The following is a 27,151-nucleotide window of genomic DNA, read 5'->3' as shown; positions in this document are numbered from 1 at the left end:
CTTTGGTTCAGAATAACTTTTGTCAGTTTCCACAAATCAAATCCGACCTCGGAGTATGAAGATTTGCCACCACTGAAAATATTTAAAGACCAGGCATGGTGGCTCACATCTGTAATTTCAGCACTTTGGGAAGCCGAGGCGGGTGGATCACTTGAGGTCGGGAGTTCGAGACCAGCCTGGCCAACATGGTGAGAGCTCGTCTCTACTAAAAATACAAAAATTAGCCAGATGTGGTGGCACATGCCTGTAATCTCCGCTACTCGGGAGGCTGAGACATGAGAATCACTTGAAACTAGGAAGCAGAAGTTGCAGTGAGCTGAGATCACATCACTGCACTCCAGCCTGGGTGACAGGGCAAGACTCTGTTTCAAAAAAGAAGAAAATGTTTTAAAAACTTGCAGCAGGTTTTGAAGGCAATTCTGAAAGATGGGTCCTAAAATGTTTTAAGCAGCAGGGTAGGTGGGAGGTACGCTAAACACATTGACAAAGCCAGCTTCTAGGGGAAGTCCTTACTATTCAAGATATGTTTTCCACATTGTACCAGAACTAAGCATGCACTGCCCTACTTCTCCTTTATGATTTATGTGCCAGAATAGGGATTGGGGTGAGCATCCTTAGCTGCGGTTTTCAGAACTTATAGATGTGAGAAAGCGGTCTGTAAACAAAGGGAAAGTGGCATTTGAGTTCAAGCCAGGGGATCTGGCCAGTGTCTTATTCATCTTTATATTTCTAGAGCATAGCATGATGCCTGGACTACCATAGGAACTCAATAGATGTTATGAATGAGCCATGAATTCTGTCTTGTGTCCCTTACAGAACCAAGTCGTCATTGCTGCTGGAAGGAGTTCTTTGGGAGCCCGACTCTCCGGGGCACTTCACGTCTATAGCCTTGGCTCAGATTGAAGATTTCACTGCATTTCCCCACTCTGCCCACCTCTCTCATGCTGAATCACATCCATGGTGAGCATTTTGATGGACAAAGTGGCACATCCAGTGGAGCGGTGGTAGATCCTGATAGACATGGGGCTCCTGGGAGTAGAGAGACACACTAACAGCCACACCCTCTGGAAATCTGATACAGTAAATATATGACTGCACCAGAAATATGTGAAATAGCAGACATTCTGCTTACTCATGTCTCCTTCCACAGTTTACTTCCTCGCTCCCTTTGCATCTAAACCTTTCTTCTTTCCCAACTTATTGCCTGTAGTCAGACCTGCTGTACAACCTATTTCCTCTTCCTCTTGAATGTCTTTCCAATGGCTGGAAAGGTCCCTCTGTGGTTATCTGTTAGAACAGTCTCTGTACACAATTCCTCCTAAAAACATCCTTTTTTAAAAAAAGAATTGTTCAGCCATAAAGAAAGAACAAGATCATGCCCTTTGCAGGGACATGGATGGAGCTGGAGGCCATTATCCTTCATAAACTATTGCAGGAACAGAAAACCAAACACTCCATATTCTCACTTGTAAGTGGGAGCTAAATGAGAACACGTGGACACATAGAGGGAAACAACACACACTGGGGCCTATGAGAGGGCGGAAGGTGGGAGGAGGGAGAGATCAGGAAAAATAACTAATGGATACTTAGGGTGATGAAATAATCTGTGTAACAAACCCCCATGACACACCTTTATGTATGTAACAAACCAGCACTTCCTGCGCATGTACCCCTGAACTTAAAAGTTAAAAAAAAGTTGAACTTAAAAATAACAGATTGGCCCATGCCAATCAAAGTATAATAGAAAGCATAGTATACAGAAAAAAAAAAAAAAAAGAAACTGAGGGAGGAAAAATAGTACAGAGTAAAGCATGGGGGTGAGGGATAACCTCACATTCCAAATCACTTGTGACTTAGTCCTTTTTAACTTTTATTTTAGGTTCAGTGGTACATGTGAAGGTTTTATCTTTTCTGTTCCTCCCACCTTCCCCACTCAAGTAGACCCCAGTGTGTGTTGTTTTGTGTTCATAAGTTCTTTTAACTTAGCACCCACTTGTGAGAACATGCTATACTTGGTATTTGGTTTTCTGTTCCTGGTCGTGTGTTAGTTTGCTAAGGATGATAGTCCTTTTTTTTTTTTTTTTTTTTTGAGACGGAGTCTTGCTCTGTTGCCCAGGCTGGAGTGCAGTGATGTGATCTCAGCTCACTGCAACCTCCGCCTCCCAGGTTCAAGTGATTCTCCTGTCTCAGCCTCCCAGGCAGCTGGGACTACAGGTGCACAATACTACGCCCGGCTAATTTTTGTATTTTTAGTAGAGACAGGGTTTCACCATGTTGGCCAGGCTGGTCTCGAACTCCTGATCTCAGGTGATCCACCCACCTTGACCTCCCAAAGTGCTGGGATTACATGTGTGAGCCACAGGACCTGGCCGATAATCCTTTCTTAATGAGGATTAATACCTTTTCAATGTTTATATAGTGAAGGACAAATATAAAAACCAAGACTATCACCCTTCTGTGCCCTCCAATACTTTTGTAGAGTTGGCTGTTCTAACACCTAAAGAGCCTAGCGACACTGCTAGTTTTAAGCCATCTCATGAGGGACCTTTGTCGCATTAGGTTACAACTTGTGCCAAAAGAACTAGAGGGAAAAGATGTGGCCTGAGCCACACGCTACTGTAAGGGCCGGAGAGGAAAGCAGGCCTTGGCCTCGCTTGTTCCTGGGCTGTTTTTCGTAGGATGGATTTCATTTGTCAGTCCTGCAGCGTGGCACACTTAAGGGAATGGAATGTATCATAGGGTTTCAGTTTCAGTAAACATTAGCGGGCATTATCTGTAAACAGTAACTAGTTTATTTTGTGTTAAATTGGGAAGAACCTCTTTCTTCTGCCACGGGTGAGATGATACTAAAAGCAGGAGAAAATAACAAATGAGAAGAGCCCTTCTCTTCTCAGCTTCTCTCAAGAGTAGAGACTGGTGAAAAGGGGACAGGAAGAGGAATCCAGCTGAAGAGTGGAAAGTTAACAAGAACATCAAGAGGTACATCCCTAGAGAGCATCTCTGGGTCACTCCCAGGATGACCTCATTTTTCTGGAAGAGGTACATGTGCTAGCTGCATAGTAACCTATGGCACAGCAAAAGCACAAGGAAGCGCCATTTGGTTTTGTTTAGGGACAATTATTGGTAGCCCAACCTATCTGAAGAATTACTTTTAATTAAAAGGATGGTTATTTTTAGGGGACCAGAAATTACTTAGTTGTATTCACTTATGAGTTGAGCAGTTAGAGCACTCTGACATCTGACACTTGAGTAAAGGGATGTTTTTCTCAGTACTGGGTCTTTTCATTAGACGGATGCATTTATATAGTGTCAGTTTTTATGCTTCACTAAATGATAAGGCCTCTGTTTAAACATGACCATTATTTACCTCACGATTTATATTTTTCTCAATGCCTGAATACACCCAATAGCAAGCACCAGGTGGAGGTTAAGACCCACAAAAATGGAAGCAAGCTTCAAGTTTATAGGACATTTAACCATACTAACCCCAATGTCAAAAACAATGTAAATTATACTCCTACTGTAAAAGGTCAACTGATATGGCACGTATGTAAAAAACCTGGCATACAGGAAAAAATTAATGCATGACAGTCTAATATATTATCCTGATACATGGATTAAATTTTCTTTCCACTAAGTATTAACTATAGTTTTAAGCATTGATTCTGCTTAATAACTAAAATGTAAAGACCTTACCTTGTAGGGTTGTAATTTCTCATTAACAGAAATCTGAACTTATACAAGTTTAACTGAAATTTATCTTTATTTCAAGATATCAGAAGACATTTACATATTTGCATTTTCTGTCTTGCTACTATCTGCGTATATGTAACAGCTTTTCTCAAGGCTTCAAGATAGGAATTGTTTTATGCCTTTGTATCACAGACCTAAGAGACCAAAATTATTTGAAGATGGAGTGGGGACAAAACTAGGGTCTCTGCAGTCCCTACTCCATGTACCATCCATTAGCTCACCTCTGTAGGTATTACTAAAGTCATGAGAGTTAAATCCAACGTGCAACTTTAATATTGCAATTCCAAAAAATAAAGCTGTATACAACTCTTGGAATAACTCACCAAAATAAATAGCTTTTTAATATAAAATTGGTTAGTGCTGCTTAACAGTCTGTGTTCATGAAGAATAAGGTGTTAATAATTGTGCTCACATTTGTTTAGGAGCCTTCCAAAGACAGTATCACACCTTGACGTGTTCGACACTTGATGTGTTTGACAGGCGATATGATTGCTTACTCACTCACATAACCCAGTGTTTGGTACCTACTTTCAAACAGTAATTAATGTGCTCAGTCCATTTTAGTTCAAAATTTAAAACCAAGGAACTTCATATATTTTTGGCATAAGCTGATTTATTATTTATGAGAACTTTAGTATAAGAAGCATCCTGCAATCACAAAAGTGGAACTAGTTGATATTTTGAAATCATACTTGATTTAACCACCTTCAGAAATTCTATAAAACACTAGCAACTTCCTTTTATCAGACTTATGAGGTAGTTACATTATTTTTCCTTTTATTGACATGATTCATCAAAAAATTATTTTATCCAAGCTCATAAACTAAGTCAATAAAACTGCAAGGAAAAATGACAAAAATTCTATCTTATGCCTGATCTTAGTCAAATCAAATGTTGCCCTCTGGGATTCCAATTCTTCATGTCACAGTTAAGTAGTACTTATTATGTATTTTACAGTGATACGACCCAAAATAGCAGCAGTGTGCTCTGAGGTGTGCCAAAAGTGTGCCCTGTGAAATATAAGTATTATCAAATACAATCTTAAAAATCCTAAGAGATTCGTAATGCTAGAGGGTGCTGTATGTTCACATTCCGACAAGAACACCATGACGCGTGTTCCTGACCCACAGTGTGGTGGCACAGGGGCCACTGCGTGCTCGAGTCTAGCCCAGCCTGTCCTGTTCCATTCTGTTCTGCAGCTTCCCTCTAATGGCTTCCCATGACCACACACAGGAGTGGGGAAACCTTACTTGTACTTCATCGGTTTTCTTCCAAATCAGCGACGGGAGTAACATTTTTATTCCTATCACCAAACCACCTGAAAAATGGACTCCTAAACTTCCTCATATGACATCACATTAGGCTAATCATGTACCCTCAATATCATCAGGGTAAGTGTATTTATTCTGTTATTATTACATTTGTAGTGCAAGAGCTGGACACTCTAGAATCTTCCATGCACACTACTTTGGGAGGCTTAACAAATGTTCTAGTGCCTAACTGTACTTAACCTCCAGAAAATATTTTAAAAGGTAGGTAGGATGTTAAAGAGGATGGCAGCTTTCAGGCTTACAAATATTAGCCATTTGTTTTAAACCCAAATCTCTGTGGAAATGAGAAGATATCACAGTTCTAACATTTATTCATCCTCATGTTTTAGGAAGCTCATCTGTCAGCTTCTGAGGTGTAGGCATATAGATTAGCAGGACAATAAACATTTTTCTTTTTGGGGCAGGGCAGGGGTGGTATCTAAATATCTACTTTAAAAATCAATAAATGGACAAAGTGCTACAAAACAGTAACAGAATGGAAATACTTCCTTTCAACTTTGCTTCCAAAGGCTCTAATTACAGAGAGCAAAGAAAACTAGTCTCAGGGGCTGAGAACGTGAAATCTTGATTAGGAATCCATACAATGGTGATATTAAATTATTTCTTTTTATTCACCTTTTATAAAAAAAAGGGGGCAAATACAAGAAATAAGGTTATGTCAAAGTTTGGTTTTTAAAGCTCAAACTTACAGAGTCTGTTGTAAGGTTAATACATAGAATGCTAGCTTTTTAGTCACCTGAGAATCAGGAAATTCACATGAACATAATTCCCTATACTGACAAAGAACTATAGCTACCTATGGGCTTGTCAAGTTCCTACGCTTCATTCAGCATGAAATTGCACTTTTCTTGATATGTATAAATTAAAATCTATGCAACTGTCTGTGCTTGTGTTGCCTCATATCACATCTATAAAAACAGCATTTAAAGTTTGTAGGAAATAGAATTTTGGCCTTTTACAAAGCAAATACTTTGTTTCTTTAACTCAGAATTCTGGAAATGCAATCCAGTTCTGGTATTGTGACTGCCAAAATATTTTTGTCTTCAAACATTAGTTTTTTTCAAGTGTCTGACTCTATACAAGAAAATAATAAAAAGAGTATCAGAAGTTTCCTGTAACTACCATAAAAAAAACTTCAGTATCCACGGGGCTGTTCCTAACGGTTTGTTAGGATGCTCCTTCCTGATCCAAGTCCATCCAGTCTGAGGCTATTTTTCAATTCCATGCTTCTATCTGCCAGAAGAGTCTTTTTAGGTAAAGAAGCCATCTAAATAAAGCAGAAGTATTAATTTTAGTATCTTTTTTAAAAGAAAAGCCACTAGTAAAATGATGTATTATGTAACTACTCAGTGAAGAAAGGACTATAAGCAGTATCAGTGTCTTAAGTATTTATTCCAGTGGTGCCATCTTCAAGTACAAAGAAAATGGAGGTGAATTTTCTATCTTTTAAGAACGTTATAAATGTTTCCTACATTTCCATTTGGTTATGACAAACCTTATACCAGAATTACTAACATCTGTTTAAATGTATGTTGTCAGAGTTCTACACAAATTATATTTCTAACTTATTGTGTTAGGCAGTGTGCTAGTAAGTGCTTTACACATATTGTTTAATTCTTCCCATAACCCTATGAAGCAGGTAATACCGACTTAACTGACAGATAGGGAAACTGAAGGAAGTTTGAGAAAGCAACTCGCAAGGGCCATAGTGCCTGTGACAACTTAATCCCAGGCGCTCTGACTTTAGGGCCCATGATCATAACCCTTCCACAATACCGCCGTGAACCATATCCTTCATACCATAGGAGGCAATGGAGCTTCTAGCTGTCGTCCAAGGAATGAAAGCAGGCGCCTCCAGATGAGGCCACTTCCCATGAACATAATTCCTGTAATCAGCCAAAAAATTCTATGGTCCTAAAAGAGAACACAGTTCATTTCCATCGCAAAACGCCAGGTTCCTTAGAAGATTCCTTGAATTGTTACTGCCCCAGAGTTTGAAAGCCTTATGTTATTTGTACAGCTCTTTCCTGTAGAAAGGAACTAAGAAAAACAAGGGCCTTGATAGCACCCACAGAATAAAGCAGGAGAAGAACATGATTTAAAAGGTTTTAAATATTTTAAAATCATCTATATGCCAAATGTACTGCTTTTACTTTGTGTTTCTTTGCAGCCTTTGTTTACATGCGTGCAAATCTTAAGTCATGATGCCAGAGGACACGCAATTTAAGGTCTTTGCTTATATCCACAGTTCTCAAACTGTGAGCTGAATGTCTGGTGCTATGCTGGGCACGATAGCACCTCAGAATATTTTAAAGTTGCAAGGGAAATAACATAAAGGAATCTGTAACATAATAAATTTTTTGTCTTCCGATACTGTGAAAAAATTACTAAGACACTAAGGGCATCGTGATCCAAGGAAGTTTGGGAACCTCAGACTTAGAAAAACATTCTTCCTCACCGTCATTTTCAGAGTGGTAATATTTTGCAGCACACTGTTTTTAGTTAATGTACAGAATCACAGAATTTAAATTTAATCTCTCACAAGGAAGGAATCCCATTTATAGCTATGCTGTTATCATTGGCTCCAATGATTGAGAGCTCACTTCCTCAAAGATAGCCTGTTACACAACTGATCAGCTATCACTGATGGAAATGCATGTCACTTATTGAACAGAAATCTGCCTCCTCTTTTTGTTGTTGTTGAGATGGAGTCTTGCTCTTCACCCAGGATGGAGTCCAGTGGCTCAATCTTGGCTCACTGCAACCTCCGTCTACCTGATTCAAGCGATTCTTGTGCCTCGGCCCCCCTGAGTAGCTGGGATTACAGGTGTGCGGCACCATGCCCAGCTAATTTTTGTATTTTTAGTAGAGATGGGGTTTCACCATGTTGGTCAGGCTGGTCTCGAACTCCTGGCCTAAAGTGATCTGCCCACCTTGGCCTACCAAAGTGCTGGGATTACAGGTGTGAACCACAACCCCCAGTCCTATATGCAATATGTGATCTAAGATTTTCTTTGTGATAAAAAGCACTACTGAGATAAGTGGCAAAATCTGAGTAGGGTCTTTAGATTGGAAAATAACTTCAGTATTAACTTCCTGATTTTGATAGCTGCACTGTGGTTATGTAAGAGGATGTCCATGTTTTAGGAAATACGTATTAAGACATTTAGGAGTAAAGGAACATCACATTTGTTCTTAGTCTCAAATAATTTAGAGAATAAAGTATGCTAGCAAAGAAATGATAAAGCAAATGTGATAAAATGTTGATATTTGGAATCTGGTTTAAGAAAATGGAAATTCTTTGACTATTCTTGGAACTTTTCCAGAAGTCTGAAATTATCTTAAAATATTTTTCCTATCTCAGATTCACCATGGCAAATATTAATTTTAACTATATCGAAATAAAGACATTTGACATCCATGGATTTAATGTTTTCAACTATTCTTCAGGACACCTACAAAGATGTGTAATTTGTAATTCTGATAAGACATTAATTTGAATCTTTTCAGCCTACTACTGAGCAAGCGTAGCTCACTACCACCTACCACTCTTATCTCATTACAAATGGGCTGTGCTGTACCTAGGATTGCACATACTAAAACTATAAGAAAGGAATTTGAAAAATCTTCCATTGTTTTGAAAAGTTGGCAATTAAGTGAGAGAAAAATATCAAAGTATAAAATGGAGTTAGCTTGTAGATTGAGTATATATACATAAACATGATTATGTATTTAGAGAAAAGACAGGGACTTGTAGAGAAAGTCCTGTAGTCACACTTAGGGAATCTGTAAAGGTCTTTGGATGTATCTTTTGAGAATGTCAATGGCTGGATTATGTTGCACAAGGTATTCTGCTTGCTTCTGAACTTTCCAATGATCTAGATTTGAGTTCAAACCTCCAGTGGGTTCCTATCCCACTTAGAAATCCAAACCCCTACCACGCTCTACGTCACTGACATGATCATACTTATCTGCATCTGGGACCTCATTTTCCACCTGACTCATGCTCTTCTAACCATTCCAACCTTCTTGCCATTTCATGAACAAGCTCAGATCGTTCCTGCCTCAATCTTTACTTCTGTGGTTCCCTCTACTTAGAACACTCTCCCCCAGATCTTCCTGCCTCCACCAGGGTGTTACCGCCTTACATCTTCCTTGACCACCCTATCTCTAAAATGCCACACATCCTACTGCCTAACATTCTCTATCCGCTTCTCTGGCTTTATTTTTCTCTGAGGCACTTAGCACTTAACATACTTTGTTTGTTTATGAACTCTCTCCTCCACTACAATATAACCTACGCAAGGGCAGACTCACTGCTAAATGGGCCTAAAGCAGTGCTTGGTATATAACAGGCAATAAAAAAACGTATTTGTGAGATGAATGAACACATGTATTTCCTTTTCTTTTATACTTTACATTAAAAATGACTAATACTGTCTTTGCTTCAAGGAGCTCATGCTCTTTTGCAGGCTTTGAACAAGGGATTGCAGATTTAAGGAATGTAGCAGATGGAAGGGTAGGATTATTTGGGCGCAGACGACAAAGTAACTTTACTGGGCCAGGTTGTCGGTGCATTCAGTGAAGGGACAACTACTTTGAGACCTGAAAGATGAGGAGGAAGTAACTAAGCAAAACGGGGATCTGAGGGGAGAGGAGTGGAAGCAGCATGTCTGGGAAGGACACTGAGAGAGGTAGTAACAAGTGGCTACCCACAAGATGGACAAGTCGGTGCGGCAGGACGGGATTTTTATCCTAAGGCTAATCAAAAGCCATTGAATAGTTGTATGCAGAAGGGTGTCATAATACTTACATCTTATAAAGACCACTTTTTAAAAGGGCATAGTGGTCCTAATGGGAGGTGATGTGGGCAACAGAGTAGACTCGTTAGACTAATGAGGACACAGAATCCAGCATCACACTGTGCCAGATGCACATCCAGGTTCAGTTCTAGAAAACTTACAATAAGCTATTCTGTGAAAACACAGTCAGTGGGTTCTGTATCTGCAGATATGCAAGGTTGACTGTACTGGGTCATTTTATATCAGAGACTTGAATACCCACAGACTTTGGTATCTGTGGGGATCCTGTAACCAATTCTTCTTGGATACTGAGGGATGACTGTACAAAACCACAGTGAAATGAAAAACTCTGGGAGTTAAGTATTATCTTAATACAGAAAGGCAACAGAGCAGTAGAAAGTGCAAGTCTTTGGGGTCATGTCCTAATTCTGTTATTTTTCCAGCTCTATGCCTGTGGGCAAGTTAAATGTTCTGAGCCTCAGTCTTCTCATCTACAAAGTAGGGATAATATATCTATTTTCAGAGTTGCAATGATTGAGCCAAATAAAGTATGCAAACCGCCTGGTACGTTGCCAGACATGTAAGAATTAAAAAATAAAAACTCTTCATTAACACTGCTTCACAGAGACACTGTTTTATCACACCTTTCCCATCTGTAATTATATGTTTTGGGAAACAAAGTAACCTAGGCTGTATTTATCTAGGTTATAACATGGTCCAACAGTACTGCCTGAATTGTGAGTTACATTATATATTTTATTTCACCATGGTAGTTTACAGGTTAGACTTTTTATTTATTTATTTTTTGAGACAGAGTCTCACTCTGTCCTGTCGCCCAGGCTGGAGTGCAGTGGTGTGATCCTGGCTCACTGCAAGCTCCGCCTCCCAGGTTCATGCCATTCTCCTGCCTCAGCCTCCGGAGTAGCTGGGACTACAGGCGTCTGCCACCACGCCCGGCTAATTTTTTGTATTTTTAGTAGAGACAGGGTTTCACCGGGTTAGCCAGGATGGCCTCGATCTCCTGACCTCGTGATCTACCTGCCTCAGCCTCCCAAAGTGCTGGGATTACAGGCGTTGAGCCAAGGTGCCCAGCCTTTATTTTTTAAATCCATTAAAAATATCGATCTTCAAAACCCAATCTTTTTTTTTGGAGACAGAGTCTCACTCTGTCTCCCAGGCTGGAGTGCAACGGCGCGATCTCAGCTCACTGCAACCTCCGCCTCCCGGGTTCAAGTGATTCTCCTGCCTCAGCCTCCCAAGTAGCTGGGATTACAGGTGCCTGCCACCGTGCCTGTCTAATTTTTGTATTTTTAGTAGAGACAGGGTTTCGCCATGTTGGCCAGGTTGGTCTCAAACTCCTGACCTCAGGTGATCCACCTGCCTCAGCCTCCTAAAGTGCTAGGATTACTGACATGAGCCACCATGCCCGGCCAAAACCCCCAAGTTTTAGAAATAATAATACATTCTCACCTCTTCAAGGGAAGATTCCAAATTCATTCCAAAAGCAACTCCCATTAGTCCAAAGAGCGAAAGAGAGAAGGTTCCCATGGTCAGCTGTAGATTCAACCTCATCATCACGTTTCGGTGGCTGGAGAGGAGAACACCTATTCAGATTAGAAGGGCCCACTAACTATATACAGCACATTCATCAAATCTATACAGACCACATGGATGAAACCTACACAACAAAAAAAATAATAATAATGTAGTATAGATGATAATGATGGCGTAATTCCTCACAAAATATTTCCTTAAAAACTTTCTTATAATTATTTTATTAAAAAAACTTAGTTTTATATAATGCTTTCTTACCTGTCCAGATTAATGAAAATAATACTTTGTGAATCATCAATCAGCACCCTAAGCTCACGAGCTGCATTGGAGAGATCGTCAGCCAATCGGTAGTAGTTTTCCAACAGCAACTCCATCTCTTCTGCATGGTCAATCCCAGCACTGCTCTTTTCACTTCAATTAAAAGAGAAAATAATTAACATACTCCCAACATGTGTATCATATACTTAGTGACAAAAACTTCCTAAATTAGTATATAGCATTCAGCTACCAGTGGAAAAGCTAGCCTTTGTCTTGTCTTGTCTTTTTTTTTTTTTGAGATGGAGTTTCACTCTGCTCCCAGGCTGGAGTGTAGTGGCGCGATCTCGGCTCACTGCAACCTCTGCCTCCCAGGTTCAAGCTGTTCTCCTGCTTCAGCCTCCCCAGTAGCTGGGACTACAGGTGCCCGCCACCACGCCCAGCTAATTTTTGTATTTTTAGTAGAGATGGGGTTTCACCATATTGGACAGGCTGGTCTCGAACTCCTGACCTTGTGATCTGCCTGCCTCGGCTTCCCAAAGTGCTGGGATTACAGGCATGAGCCACAGCGCCTGGCTGCCTTTGTCTTTTCTATTGTTGTGGCCAATCTGTGAGTACCTATGTCAACTGATCCAAAACACTTTACAGATGAGTTGAGGACAGAGGTTCCATCCTTATGTAGACCAGTTGGTGTCACTGTATTACATGGCCCCAATCCAAGAGATTTTTATGCAGATACATGCTGCCAGTTACAGGAAAATCCAGATATGTGAATGCAGATGAATTAGTGCAAAGCCAATACCACTATCAGGTAAAACAAAATCCACAACTAAAAATGTCAAGACCATTTCCTTTTGAGGTGTGTACATAATGTGATTTCATATAAAGAAAATGTTTTTGAATGATATCAGTAATAACTTTGCTCCCCTACCCTACCAAGAAGGGTAAGGGGGAATGAAGTACTCTGAAGAGGTACCTGTATCATAAAGCATATTAGAGACAGATTGACAGATTGGCCTAAGCAAAGCAAACAGTTTCTGCTACCATACCTATCGGCTATCTACCAAATGTTATATAGCCCCCTTTATCTTATTATTTCCTTATCAGGATATAAATAACCAATTTTTCAAAGTGCTGTAAGAAAATCTGTACAGACTGTGGAAACTAAACTCATTACAAAGGTGTATTAATTTCTGATACTGCTCTAGAAAGACAATAACAAAATATTTGGGTATTTAAAAGTAAACATTTAGCTGGAGTGTGCACAAGAAGCATAAACAATTTCTAAATTCATAAAAGATAAAAGGTTTATAAGATTAACATTTTCATTAGACTGAACTTACATAATCCATGTTAATGTGTTACTCGTGTATTTACCCCATCTTTTCCCTCCCCCATGTAAATTTCTCTCCCACTCTGCTTCCTAGGTAAGTTATTTTGGTAGATGTATATGCCAATCTGGTGGTCAGTCCCTTGAATATAAAGGTAACTGTGTGTTTATATTCACCACATGTCAGCAGTGTTGGGTATGCAGTATGCATACTCATAGAATTACATTGAATTAGATACGATACTGCACAGGAAAAAAGGGAAACTGGGGATGAAAAATCTCTATATTCTGTAGTCCAGAAAAATGTTACATTCTGTATGAAAAATCACCTTGAAGTGGAAAAGGCAAAAGATTTACTCTAAGGAAATAAATAACAAAGTATAATTATATACTTACAAGACTTGTGGGTCACTCCATTTTGATACACAGAGCTCTTCTAGCAACTCTTCCTCATCCAAGATCTCCAAAATTGACTCTTTGAAAATTTTAATATCTGTTTCTAACTCTGATAGACTATAAGAAATAGATACACAAAAATGATCAATAGAATAAACTTATAAGAACATTTCATAATAGTGTTTTTAGAGTATCTTATCAAATATATTATCTTATACATTCATGCTAAACAATGACTTATTTAAAAAAAAAAAAAAAGTTGAGTATTTACCAGGCAAATTAAGAATCAATTTGGCCAGGCATGGTGTCACGCCTGTAATCCTAGCACTTTAGGAGGCCAAGGCAGGAGGATTGCTTGAGCTCAGGAGTTTGAGACCCTCCTGGACAACAGTGAGATCTTGTCTCTACAAAAAAATTTAGAAAATTAGCTGGGCATGGTGGCATGTGCCTGCAGTCCCAGCTACTTGGGTGGTGGAGGTGGGAGGATTGCTGAAGGTTAAGGCTGCAGTGAGCTGAGACTGCACCACTGCACTCCAGCCTGGGCAACGGAGTGAAACCCCGTCTCAAAAACACCCACAAAAAACCCAAACCAAGGCTGCAGTGAGCTGAGACTGCACCACTGCACTCCAGCCTGGGCAACGGAGTGAAACCCTGTCTCAAAAACACCCACAAAAAACCCAAACCAGATCTAAATTAATTGGTAAAATTATCAGTGATATAAATTTCATCATACATTACTTATCTCAGAAACATAAATCGCTTGTGAATTTAAGATTTTTGGTTTGGGAATTTTATTAATCAACATGGCAGTGATAATATAGAACAGACTAGTTACTCTTAACTGATAAAAACACTCCAACATTTTTGGATAAGAAACTACTGATTCAGGAATTTTAAATGTTAATTCTTGAAGGGATTTCGGGAGTATAACTCCTGAGAGCATGTTTATTCTATTTATGATACATATATAATATTGTTATTAAATTCTGGAATGCATTATGATTTTAAAGAAAAAGAACAACATGGACTTTGAATTTGGATTTAGATCTGCCATTTACTAGCCATATAAATTTAGGCAAGTTACTCAAACCTCAATTTTCTCATCTTCAAAATGAAGACAATATCAACTATTGAATGGGTGATGAGATGAGATCACATACGGAAAAGAGCCTTACATGACATTTCATGCAAAGTATCTTTTCAACAAACAGTAGATTGTGTGCCCCTTTTAGCTCAACTTCCCACCTAGGCTACTTTCATACTTTAAAAAAAGTTATGAAACAAAATGTTAATAATTGATTTTAAGATATTTGTCTCCAACTCCCAATGTGATACATCATCCATATTTACCTTTTGCCATTCTGTAGTAAAATGTGCAGTTTGCTTCTGTCTACAGAAGAATGTTTGGGGTCCACCAAAGCATCCAAGGTCTCAAGGATCAGTGGCTGCAAAATGCTAAGTTTCCCCTGAAGGGTGTTGATCTAGATAACAACATGACCTTTCATAAGAATTAAAACAATCTTTTTAGAATATTCAGGATCAGTGAATCCTCTGATTAAATACAGAAATCTGTAGTAGCTTGAAATGCTGGTAACATTTCAGAACATAGATAATTCTAGAATGCCTATTCCAGATGATTCAAAAACTAGATCCTCTGGGTTCAAAGAACTATGTATGATGTTATCTTTAGGCACAGATTTGGTTGACAAGGAGCTAACTCTCGTAAGAGTCTTTCTCCTCCCGCCCGGCCAGCCGCCCCGTCCGGGAGGTGAGGGGCACCTCTGCCCGGCCGCCCCGTCTGGGAAGTGATGAGCCCCTCTGCCCAGCCGCCACCCCGTCTGGGAGGTGTACCCAACAGCTCATTGAGAACGGGCCACGATGATGATGGCGGTTTTGTCGAATAGAAAAGGGGGAAATGTGGAGAAAAGAAAGAGAGATCAGATTGTTACTGTGTCTGTGTAGAAAGAAGTAGACATAGGAGACTCCATTTTGTTCTGTACTAAGAAAAATTCTTCTGCCTTGGGATGCTGTTAATCTATAACCTTACCCCCAACCCTGTGCTCTCTGAAACATGTGCTGTGTCCACTCAGGGTTAAATGGATTAAGGGCGGTGCAAGATGTGCTTTGTTAAACAGATGCTTGAAGGCAGCATGCTCGTTAAGAGTCATCACCACTCCCTAATCTCAAGTACCCAGGGACACAAACACTGCGGAAGGCGGCAGGGTCCTCTTCCTAGGAAAACCAGAGACCCTTGTTCACATGTTTATCTGCTGACCTTCCCTCCACTATTGTCCTATGACCCTGCCAAATCCCCCTCTCCGAGAAACACCCAAGAATGATCAATAAATACTAAAAAAATTTAAAAAAAAAAGTCTTTCTCCTATAGACATTCATTATGAAGTAATGAGGGATCAAGTAAAATAAAATCTGCTATTATTAAAACACAAGCTTTCAGTAATACCTGTGTTCTCTGTAAACAGAATATGGTTCAAAATTCCTACAAAGCTCTTTGAAAATAAAAACTTGAGCTTTAAAACATAAACATATCAGAGTAAAGTCAAAAATAGACTATTTAGGTTAACACAAGTATGGTTTGATATTTGATATTCGGCAGGTATGCACTAATCCTGCTATATAGTTGTTAAAATACTGAAACACTTCCATGCCAGTTGGCAAATAGCATATACTAACTAAATCAAGCGGTAAAACTGATGACGTAAATTACAGCATATAGTCTTTATCTCAGAAGCACAATTACTGTGAAACAGATTTTTTTATTTGGAAACAAGTCCAGAGTCACAGTGCCTCTGCAGACATGTTGTTTATTTCGTCTCCAGAGGAACTGCTTCCGGGTTAAGAAGTCCTTGGGTGGGAGGGAAGACTGGACAGCCAAATAGGCAGACCACATCTTTTAATCTAAGAGATATCAAACCCTCTGCTCAGCAAGGTGTGGACTTTTGTAGTGGTTGGGGAGGCTGCTGAGGGTCACAGATAGGGTATTTGTGAGGCATATCTACTCATGGTATGTCTTGGTCCCTTAGGTGGGTTTGGGGAGCTTTCCCTTGTTCGAAAACTTATCCCTTTTGAGAGGTGGCTGGTCTTGCTTCTATGTAGTGTTGTTTCGTAAGGAAATCTTCCTGGGACCCCATTTAAAGGAAGAAGAATGTGTATCCCAGCAGACATCCTGAACTCCCTCTCTATTCTCCCCACAGCCAATCTCTAGGCCGGAGACCCATGCCAGCCTAGCCTCTCTCCTTCCCCTCCTGCTCCCTTTAAGATCCCTGTCTTTCTCCTAACAGCATGAGCTCCTGAGAGCTTACCCAGCCTGTGGAGCCCATGACTTACCACTGTTTACATCTTCTTTCTCTCTTCTGCTTTCCCCCTGCTTGGTAACTGGGCTCCCACTACTTATCATCTCACTGGCTGGTGCTAGCTGGTGCTCATTAATTACCCCAAGCAGGAAGTGTAGCCATCTATTCTTTCAGAGCAAGGCAGACAAAAGAAAAGTGTGCCAGGTTCACCCAACCCAATGCACCTCATGTCCTCTCTACCCTCTCTCCTCCTCCCACTCTGGTTAGTATGCTCCCAGCACCAACTCTTGCATGTAGCCAGTTCCTGAACAGTACCATCCTGACTTAACAGGAGGAAGAAAAGATAATGAAAGATTTGTGGGGTCAGGGAAGCAGAGAACCACCCTTGTTTAGAGCCTGACAGGAGTCTCAGACATCTAAGGACTCTTAATTTAAAGGAGGAGTCACTGGAAGAACTGTGCGTGATTCCTATGTCAATCTAGGTCTCAAAAAGATGCATCATTTACCTGGCTCAAACAAAGGATTGTACAAACAAATCAAAAAATGACTTGATGAAATGATTTAATAAAATAATTATCACATGTCAAGCATTTTTATAATATACATAGAGTCTTTAGTTCTATTTGACTGGGTCATAACATTTAAGAATTAAGTGATATCTCCATGTAGGATCCTTAGAGACGACTTGTTTCGGGGCAGGATGTGGTCAGGGGACATGCCATTGAAACAATACCCCAACTTGTCTTCCCACTCAATGACATTTCAAAATCAGAATAAACCCAAGAAGCTAAATAAAAACAGACTTACCCAATATTGCAGGAGTGCTTCTATAGCTCTAAACTCAAAAGGTAAAGGGTATGTAACGAGTTGACCCTCTCCAGACAACTGTGAAGGGAGTTCCCGGAACAGCCATTGCTCTAAGTTTAAATTACGATAATCTAATATCAGAAGACACTCTGGAGTTATCACAGCTTTCAAATACTGTTAAAAAAAAAAAAACCAAAACATATAAATATGTGAGTGTATATACACACATGCATGTATATACATATATATGTATACATACATATATATATGCAAATTGTAGAGCTGTAGGAAAAAAGAACATTCATAAAATTTGGTTTAATACTTTACTAATTGTGGATTAAGACTAAACCAAATCAGTGTTCATTTTTGTTTTTCAAAAAAATCAAGGTTTTTTTTTTCAAAAGAAAAGAAACTTAAAAAATATATGTCTTGATACTGCTAACTCACTCTCAATAAAACTGGAATTATTCACATAAATTATATATTTACTAAGACTTCTGGGGTAATCATGAAAAAAAAACAAAAACAAAAAAAAAAACACCAAAAAATACCCCCAGAAAGCCGGGCATGGTGGCTCATGCCTGTAATCCCAGCACTTTTGGAGGCTGAGGAAGGTGGATCATGAGGTCAAGAGATCGAGACCATCCTGGCCAACATGGTGAAACCCCGTCTCTACTAAAAATACAAAAATCAGTTAGGCGTGGTGGCCCACACCTGTAGTCCCAGCTACTTCAGAGGCTGAGGCAGGAGAATCGCTTGAACCTGGGAGGCGGAGTTTGCAGTGAGCTGAGATTGTGCCACTGCACTCCAGCCTGGCGACAGAGCGAGACTCCGTCTTTCTTTTTTGGAAAAAATAAATAAATAAATAAAGGGAACAAGATAAGGTCTTCCTAAAAGTCAGGTATTGAGCAGACTTTTAGAAAAGATTTAGTTTAATCATAATTAGTTTGGCACAAATGGAAGTTTCCTTTTTAAAACACCACTAAAGCATATAAACAAAATCTGAAATTAAGATGAAACATAGCCTTACTACTCTAATTTAGAACAATATGAAATTAGAATTTTTTCTAAAAAGACTGGTTATCTTGTATGTTAAAAGTAGATAAAGGTAGCCACTTTATCAGTGATATAGAAATTAGAGATAATTTTCTATTTTTACATTTTTCCAACATTCTATCATGAATTTTTTTTTCTTTTTTTTTTTTGAGATGGAAGTCTTGCTCTGTCACCCAGGCTGGAGTGCAGTGGGGCAATCTCGGCTCACTGCAACCTCCACCTTCAGGGTTCAAGCTATTCTCCTACCTCAGCCTCCTGAGTAGCTGGAATTACAGGCACCCGCCACCATGCCTGGCTAATTTTTGTATTTTTTAGTAGAGACGGGGTTTCACCATGTTGGTCAGGCTGGTCTCGAACTCCTGACCTCAGGTGATCCACCCCTCTCGGCCTCCCAAAGTGCTGGGATTACAGATGTGAGCCACCACAACCTAGCCTCATGAAAATTTTTATACAGAAAAGTTGAAAGATTGCAGTGAACACCATATACCCACCAGTTAGATTACACAATTATCATTCTGCTGAATTTGCTTTTTCACATACCTGTCTGTCTCTCCATGAAAGAGACACTGTTTTGAAGAATGCTAGCTACTGATTCCAAGAGTAGAGAATATTTCTGAAGAAAATCACATGGGAGAAGACTGCTTCATTTTTGATAAAGTATTTTTTATTTACTTATTTATTTTTAGAGATGGGATCTTGCTATGTTGCTTAGGCTGGTCACAAACTCCTGGTCTCTGGTGACCCTCCCACTTCAGCCTCCTGAGTAGCTGGGACTAAAGGCACATGCTACCAATACTGGCCCATTTTTTATTATTTTGATTAGTTCTAGAAAAATGAACAAAAATCTGCCATCAAAGACTCTTTGAAGAAAGTCTCATACCCACTACAGGGCCAATACCATTCATCTATTTTTGAACCTAAACATTAGCCCACCAAAATAACTGAAACCCACATTAACTCTGAATCACTAAAGAAAGTCAAATTATTATTTGGCATGCTCTGAATAGGTAAGGGAAAATACAATATATTTCAGAAAGTTTTCCATTAAAAAAATTTAAACTGGCCAGGCACGGTGGCTCATGCCTGTAATCCCAGCACTTTGGGAGGCAGAGGCAGGTGGATCACCTGAGGTCGGGAGTTTCAGAGCAGCCTGACCAACATGGAGAAACCCCATGTCTACTAAAAATACAAAATTAGCTGGGTTTGGTGGCTTATGCCTGTAATCCCAGCTACTCAGAAGGCTGAGGCAGGAGAATTGCTTGAACCTGGGAGGTGGAGGTTGCAGTGAGCCAAGATCGTGCCAGCCTGGGCAACAAGAGCAAAACTCCATCTCAAAAAAAAAATTAAGGCTATAAAATTTAATGTCTATTCCTGTGCTATTTAGAAAGCCAGAATACATTTTTGGTAGCTCAGGTTATACTATAATTACATGTAACTGTACACAATTGGATATATATCTATTATAAATCAGGATTGTCTTATAGTTTCCAGAACTAGAGAGTAAATCCCAACAGTGAGAATGAACACCACAGTCAGAGCTTTTCCAACTTAAAACACAGCAGTGTTATGCCTATTGAACATGTGCATATAATCCATATAAAATGAGTTCTACTCATAATAGCATATTAAGCTATAAAACATCCTATGTTTCAGGTAGCTATTTCTATTCCAAAATTACTTTTAACCTAGATACTAATCAAGATAGTTAGAAGGTAACTTTTATAAGATTGTATTGGAGAAACATAGATGAAAATAAAATATTTTACCTCCATTCTCATGATAATCCTATTGTTTCTGACTGTGATACTCATTACATGCTGAAATCTCAAATCTCTGGCTTGAAGACCTAACTCTTGGTATAATTCAGTTTTCTTCCTTTCTATAAAAGAAATAAACAGAGAGGGCTAAACCAAATACATTAAATGGCTTAGATTTTTCCATCAGAGCAGTCCTCCCACCACCATCAAGACAATTTTTGGTTACTACCAGAAACAAAAACTAAAATTAAGTCTTTTAATATCCATTTTTACCTAGAAAACATACTCGGGCTAAATAGAGTCAAACTAATGATTTTCTTATCTATACCTCATAACTTTCTCACTACTTAGAAGACCCTTGAGACTAATACAGAAACCACAACTATGCATCATTAGAACCTATAAATGTCCAGCTCTAGAGACAGGTTATCTCTCTTAAATATAAACTGTACACAACTATATTTTCTATTTTTACTACAACATCATCTTCAGTATTTTATATATGTGAACAGATAAGCTTGATTTTCTTTGTTCTTAGACTAATACAAAAATGAGAAAAGCTGAATTTATTACCTGAGACTGATTCATTCTCAAGGGAGATGTGAAACTCACATCTGAAGTCACACTGTAAAGTAATGCCTAGTCTCACTTTTTAAAGTAGCTGTCCACAGAGAGCCATCAGCAGCAGAGTTCCATGTGGCTGCCATGCAGTGACATGGCCCTGTTCATCTTTTGTCACCCACTGCAATGTCAGTGGTATTATGTGACTCTGCCTTAAACATGCTTCAGGAGAATGAATGAGGGCAGTGAAAGGGACGCCAACAAGAGAGACAAAAGAGAAAAAGAGTGTGTCTCTGGGCTCCAGTTCTACACCAGCCTCTGCTCTCCCAAATATTCCTTCAATAGCCTGTTAGAGCAAAAAGTGGCTCCTGCTAGAAGAAAACAATTCTGGGAGAATACACACAGTCTGAGTATTGCCAGCTCCAATTAAGACTGATGGACAAATGCTGAAGAAAGATCTCTTTCAACACACCTGTATATGCAAAGAATATTTTACTCAAAATACTACAATTTCTTGATTTCTATCAGATTCACTCATTAAATGTTTAAAAAATGATTTAGAATGCTAATCACTCACCAAAAGAAGTAACGTTTCCCTGTTTGTCAAATTTTGTCTGAAAATAGAGAATAAAACAAATTATGATTTTCTTTCAAATTAGAATGCTACTTATGGTATTGCTAATTTAGTTAAGAATTTATGGTATTGTAAGTAATATCCCCAAAATGTTGAAATGCAAATATAAACCATTACTGACCTTCTTTAGATTAAATCCAGTTATGAGTTAAGGGTTTTTTTAAAATCCTTTTTTCCTTTGATAGGAAAAATCAGACCTGGGTTTAACTTTCTATCTTGGTTCCTCTAGAAAGTTGATAAAGGAGTATCAGTTGTGTTGTTACTAGGTAACAATCCTTATGGTAAAAATGACCATTGACTGGTAGACTGCACTGGACTGGGAAGACGAACAAATTACAGTTATCAGGTGAAAAGCAATAGCTCTCTTTGCCCTTTCCTGATTGTGGTGGCTCTTGTGGCCATGTTCCCAGCCAGAATCCTGGACACTGTGCCCCTGCGATGGTTACAAGGGATACTGTCACTACGGGGCATGGGGATTCGAGCCAAGATGAATCTCACATCCACCTTTGAGAATCTTATCTCCTTGTCACTGAGCGATCACTCAGAGGACCAGAGAAGCCCCTGGATGGCTGCAAAGACTTCTTTTGAAGAGGAAACACCTAACACTACCCTGTTGTTTCTCCTGTCCCTTATCCTTCTGAGTAGACTGGGACCAAGTATGGCCCGCCTTGTGAATCTAAATGTCTACATGAGGCCAAAGTCTCTTTGGTGGGTGTTGCAGAATCAATAAAGATTTACAGAACCCCTTCTGATAGTTTGAAGAGAGGATTTGATACAGAAAATGCACCTATTTCCTGCAAAGTAGGGGACTATCTTTCAGTGATGTTTATCCACAGTCAAGTTTGAAGCTGTGAAACATTTAATGAATCACTATGTGCTGAGCTGTACTACTTACTACGACAGACACATTTCAGAAAGACACTCCAACATACAGGTTTAAGTACAATATAGGTCTTGGGTTACTACCATGGAAATATACATGCTGTGTTAATCACACAATAAAAACTCACAATATATATATTTTATCTTGCTTCTCATCAGCAAAAATAAAATTAATATGAATATATAAGTTCCATAGAACATTAAAGGAAAATTTATATCAAAGAAAGCTTTATATTTGTGTAATAGTCTAGCTTTCAGCCTTATATTTCACAAATACATAAACCCACTGCAGAAAATTTGAAAATAAATATACGTAACATAAAACTATATTAATCACCTGAAATGACAAATTTTAGAGAAAACCATGTCAATATTTCACTGAATATCCTTCCAAACATTTTCCTAATAAAACATACTTATACATACTGCTTTGCAGTCTCCCTCCTTCCAAATTAGCAACATATGCTGAATATTTTTGCATCTCAATATTTATATGTACCCTTTTTTTCTTTAATGGAACTTAAAAAAATTTTTTAAATCATACAAATTATAAAGAAAAAAATATTTACTTTGTAACCAGCTCACTTTCTAAACTATTTCAAACAGCACAAATTAAATTTTTCTTTCTCAGATTCCATAGCTTTATGAATTTCTTAAGTGTTCTTTGCAATTATTTCACCTGCAAAGAACTAACTTTCAGTATTTCACGTTTGACTTTGTATTCTTTTTTTGAGACAGAGTCTTGCTCTGTTGCCCAGGCTGGAGTGCAGTGGTGCAATCTTGGCTCACTGCAACCTCCACCTCCCAGGTTCAAGCGATTCTCCTGCCTCAGCCTCCTGAGTAGCTGGGACTACAGGCGTGCACCACCACGCCTGGCTAATTTTTTTGTTTTTTAGTAGAGACGGGGTTTCACCATGTTGGTCAGGCTGGTCTAAAACTCCTGACCTCAAATGATATGCCCACCTCAGCCTCCCAAAGTGTTGGGATTACAGGCGTGAGCCACCGTGCCTGGCCCTGATTTTGTATTCTTAACTAAATTGGCCAACTCTTCCAGAACAATGAATAACAGTGGTAACTTTTAAACGCAATTCTGGGGGTTATTTAATTTTATATAGTTTATAAAGAAAAGCTCTTATGTTAACAAGCCTAAATAATCCTAATGAAATATATTTGAGGCTTACTATATGTGAGGCACTAGTTTAAGGGCTTTCTATATATGAGTTAATTTAATCCTCATAACAATTCTATATGGTAGGTTATGCTCAGTTTTCAGATGAGAAAACTAAGGCACAAAGATGTTATTGTAACTTGTCCAAGGCCACCTAGTCAATAAGAGGCAGAGTGAGATTGGAATTTAGGAAGTCTGGCTCAGAATAGGCACACCTTTTTTTTTTTTTTTTTGAGATGGAGTCTCACTCTGTCTGCCAGGCTGGAGTGCAGTGGCATGATCCAGGCTCACTGCAAGCTCCGCCTCCTGGGTTCATGCCATTCTCCTGCCTCAGCCTCCCAAGTAGCTGGGACTACAGGCGCCCACCACCAGGCCTGGCTAATTTTTTGTATTTTTAGTAGAGATGGGGTTTCACTGTGTTAGCCAGGATGGTCTCAATCTCCTGACCTCATGATCTGCCCACCTCGGCCTCCCAAAGTGTTGGAATTACAGGCGTGAGCCACCACGCCCGGCCGGCACACCTTTTTATCAAGACTTTTTTTTTTTTTGGAAAAAAAAAAAAAGCCTACAAAGAAGTTGCAAGAATATTACAACCAATTCCCATAGAGCTTTCACCTAGAGTCACCTTTGTTAACATTTTGCCCCAACAGCCTTCTTTCTCTAAAAATACGTGTGATACATTATCTTATTCATTCATTTCCCCCCTCATCCCCACCCCCGAACCATTTCAGAGAAAAGTTAGAGATCATGACCTTTCAAAGCATGCATTTTTAAATACTACTCTCTGCTGCCTTCAAAATGCTTCTGCCTGCGTATTATCTTGCAGAACATAGGTTCAAGCCTCTTTATGGCTCTGAATTGTGATTGACCTGTTCTAGTATTAAAAGGGGAGCTGCAGTCATTAGCAAAGGTTCAAGATCATTGTTAAGCAAATCTAGCAGGCACTTAGGTCACTGGCCAGGCACAACAGCCACGACATGTAGCTATGATGATTATAAAGCTCAAAATAAGTAGTATCTTGGCCAACAGTCCAACGAGTTAACTTATGTATGGGAAGCACTTTCTGTACGATTTCCAATGTACTGTACATACTCACCACAGTAAATACTGGGGCTACACTGGCTAAAGTGGCTTGAGAGACGTCAGAGGTTCTAAACCGGTGCACTTCACCTGAAGAATAAATTAAGAGAATTCCTGTGGTCACATGATTGGTTTTCACATAGAGCTAAAATACAACTCTCAAAGTATGTGGAGGCCTTCAGACTATTTTATTATTTTTAAATATTTTTCCTATAAGAAAAGAAGAAATACTCTTCTTAATTTTAACATCTGTTAGTGACTATCTTAGGTTTGGCAGGGAATGATTTTTAAAACTAATGGCTTAGGTGAGGCATTAAAATAACTGATGGATTCCAATCACCCTTTTACCTTTCTAATTATTACTGATATCTCAGAGTTGGATGAACAAATGTGCAACATCGTGTTCTGAGATTTAAGAAAATGTCTGGTCTTCCTTTTCGCATAATTTAAAAGACTCTTCATGCACATTTGGTAGTAGATACATTTTAGAAAACATAGGTCCTAAGTACCACCTGATCTTTCAAGCATTCCAGTTGACTGGCTCATAAATTATGAAACCTATGATTTTACTTCTTTTCTACAGATATCCTTTATAGTGAATACTTATGAAATACCCCCACTGAGCTGAAATGACAAATCTTTATTTTAAAATTGTCTATTTAAAACGTGATTAGACTGAGTCGAAGTGAGCGGTGAAGTATAATCAAGTACATTTAATGACTGACAGAGGACACTGTTTTGTGCTTCCAAAGTAATTACACTGATTCCAGAGACTGTAGAAAAAAAAACCTATTTCTGATCTTTTTTCTACTACATACACGTAATGATTGTTGTAATTTGTTAGTATCTGAAGTTTCATTTCCCTTTTACAAAATACAAATTATCACTATAAGGGTAAGATGAATAAAGGTAAAAGGCATTTGCTGATTACAAATGCCTTTCAATGTTTTAATGTCACAAATTAGAGTGTAACCGGGATTGAGATTGTGAACGTCAATGCTTGTCCTAAAAGTTTCCTCCAACTTGCTGAAACTGGATTCCCAAGCATTATCAATTGAGGGTGCAGAGCATGTAACCCAACTTAGCCTCTCCAATAAGTGGAGAATGAGGTGCTGACGAGGAGTTACTTTGGGAGGCTTTTGAGAGCACAATTGAGAAAACATATTTGAGGACACTGCTATGTTCTTAATAAAGTCATTCATTTCAATACCTTTTATTCCTCAAATATTTGCACTCACATTTGTGAAAATCTTAACTTTTCACCATGCTTCAACATTTGGTGAAAAAATAAACAGCAAATAAGATTTTTTTTTCTCAATCCGATCTCCCTGGCTGTTTACTTATAGAGTACTGTAGTTGAAAGTAAGTCGTTCTCAGAAACAACTCAGTCTTTAGCCTCACTTCTAGGTGCGTCCCCAATCTCCGTGCAACTGGACAACTGTATAAATGTGTCCATAACGAAGAAACAGAAAACAGGGAAGTATTAATTTATACTTATGACTTCCGAACAGATGAAATCCTTGTTTAAAAACACCTCTCGGCCAGGTGTGGTGGCTCACGCCTGTAATCCCAGCGCTTTGCGAGGCTAATGCGTTAGGATGGCTCGAGGCAAGGAGTTTGAGTCCAGCCTGGGCAACATAGTAAGACCCTGTCTCAAAAACAACACAGAAAAAACCTCTTACAAGAGCACTTAAGCGGGTGTTAACTAACGTGATCACGGTCTGTAAACGATTCCTAGGTTGTTCCTATGGTTACATAATCTGCAGCAAGGGCGGTGGAGGAGAAGGCAGAGGGTTGGCCGCTGGGACCCCGGCAGGGCACAGCGCACATAGCAAGGTCGCATTCTGAGCGAGTGGGACGCAGCTCGGCCCGCGGGCCTGTGCAAGCTCACAGGACACGCGGGAGGCCGAGGCCTGCGGAGGGCGCGGAGCAACAGGCGCGCCGCGCCGGACGGCTGGGGCAGCAGTCTAAGGTCACTGCAAGACCAGCGTCCCAAGGCTGTTGCCGGGGAAGGGCAGTACCTGCCACGCGGAGCCGGTCGGGCCCGCAAAGCTGCGCCGCTCGGCTCCTTCCAATCAGGTTGGCTCGGCGGCCGCAGGCAGCAACGGGAGGACCCACAGAGGTCACGTCCAAGGCCAGGGCACACAGCGTCCGCCGGGGAAGTCTCATCGCGCGGGGCAGGAGGCAGGGTAAACTGCGCAGGCATTCCATGGTGCTGGAGCAAGAAGCAGGCAGCAGCCAGACCCCAGACCTTCATGCCGGACGCTGGCTGCTCAGGCCGCAGCTCTGACCTGTCGCTACCGCCCGACCTGCAGACTCTGTGCACCAGGCATGCGCGGGGCGTGCCGCGCCTGCGTGCTACTTCCCCACGCATGCTCGGAAGGTACCTGTGGGCGAGCCTGTTAAGTCCACAGCCAATAGACGTTTGCTTGCCTACCTGTACCTGCACCTGTACCTAAGTGAGGGGGCAGGCG

The 27,151-nt window shown here is 39.8% G+C and overlaps 2 protein-coding genes across 10 annotated transcripts in view, besides 1 other annotated feature; one reads left to right on the top strand and one right to left on the bottom strand.

The window, feature by feature from the left end:
• Positions 1 to 5,966, top strand: part of GPLD1 (glycosylphosphatidylinositol specific phospholipase D1) — a 71,319-nt gene extending 65,353 nt beyond the window's left edge. For 3 of the 4 annotated variants that reach the window (XM_017010753.3, NM_001503.4, XM_047418657.1), the window contains one exon: positions 817 to 4,103. In XM_017010753.3, coding sequence (XP_016866242.1) covers positions 817 to 903 — 87 coding nt within the window. In that variant the 3' untranslated portion in view covers positions 904 to 4,103. Of the gene's footprint in view, positions 1 to 816; positions 4,104 to 4,952 lie in introns of those variants that run through there. The other variant, XR_007059240.1, reaches the window with a different exon arrangement.
• MRS2 (magnesium transporter MRS2) lies at positions 3,745 to 26,999 on the bottom strand. Of its 6 annotated transcripts, NM_001286264.2 has the most exons (12): positions 26,699 to 26,999; positions 24,694 to 24,767; positions 21,491 to 21,527; positions 20,362 to 20,474; positions 19,136 to 19,208; positions 17,540 to 17,649; positions 14,772 to 14,902; positions 13,422 to 13,538; positions 11,699 to 11,851; positions 11,357 to 11,474; positions 6,885 to 6,998; positions 3,745 to 6,351 (listed from the first exon to the last, which is right to left on the bottom strand). In NM_001286264.2, exons 1-12 carry the CDS (start codon positions 26,886 to 26,888, stop codon positions 6,241 to 6,243), a joined length of 1,341 nt encoding a protein of 446 aa, NP_001273193.1. In that variant the 5' UTR covers positions 26,889 to 26,999; the 3' UTR covers positions 3,745 to 6,240. The 6 variants fall into 6 exon arrangements, 5 of the variants coding, with proteins under 5 accessions (NP_001273193.1, NP_065713.1, XP_005249299.1 ...); NM_020662.4 differs by lacking the exon at positions 19,136 to 19,208 and having other exon boundaries at positions 17,540 to 17,713; NR_104423.2 differs by lacking the exons at positions 19,136 to 19,208; positions 24,694 to 24,767 and having other exon boundaries at positions 14,772 to 14,919; positions 17,540 to 17,713.
• Positions 25,628 to 26,362: an enhancer, noted in NCBI's record as "NANOG-H3K27ac-H3K4me1 hESC enhancer chr6:24403801-24404535 (GRCh37/hg19 assembly coordinates)". NCBI's record gives its function as "activates a minimal SCP1, AML or CMV promoter by ChIP-STARR-seq in primed H9 embryonic stem cells {active_cell/tissue: H9 hESC(primed)}" and the evidence as "EXISTENCE:reporter gene assay evidence [ECO:0000049][PMID:30033119]".
• Positions 27,000 to 27,151: the final 152 nt, after the last annotated feature.

Source organism: Homo sapiens, chromosome 6 (assembly GCF_000001405.40).
Source record: "Homo sapiens chromosome 6, GRCh38.p14 Primary Assembly".
Taxonomy (NCBI): domain Eukaryota; kingdom Metazoa; phylum Chordata; class Mammalia; order Primates; family Hominidae; genus Homo; species Homo sapiens.
The sequence above is the reverse complement of the archived record's forward strand: the minus strand, read 5'-3'. Positions and strand labels throughout refer to the sequence as shown.

What these genes read in the sequence shown, in the direction of transcription:
- MRS2 (NM_001286264.2), bottom strand. Translation starts at nt 26,888, where the DNA reads ATGGAATGCCTGCGCAGTTTACCCTGCCTCCTGCCCCGCGCGATGAGA. An exon ending in CGACCGGCTCCGCGTGGCAG is followed by an intron (nt 24,768 to 26,698) that starts GTACTGCCCTTC and finishes TTTATTCTTCAG; the next exon opens with GTGAAGTGCACCGGTTTAGA. An exon ending in AAGCTCCATTGCCTCCTATG is followed by an intron (nt 6,352 to 6,884) that starts GTATGAAGGATA and finishes TGCTTTATTTAG; the next exon opens with ATGGCTTCTTTACCTAAAAA.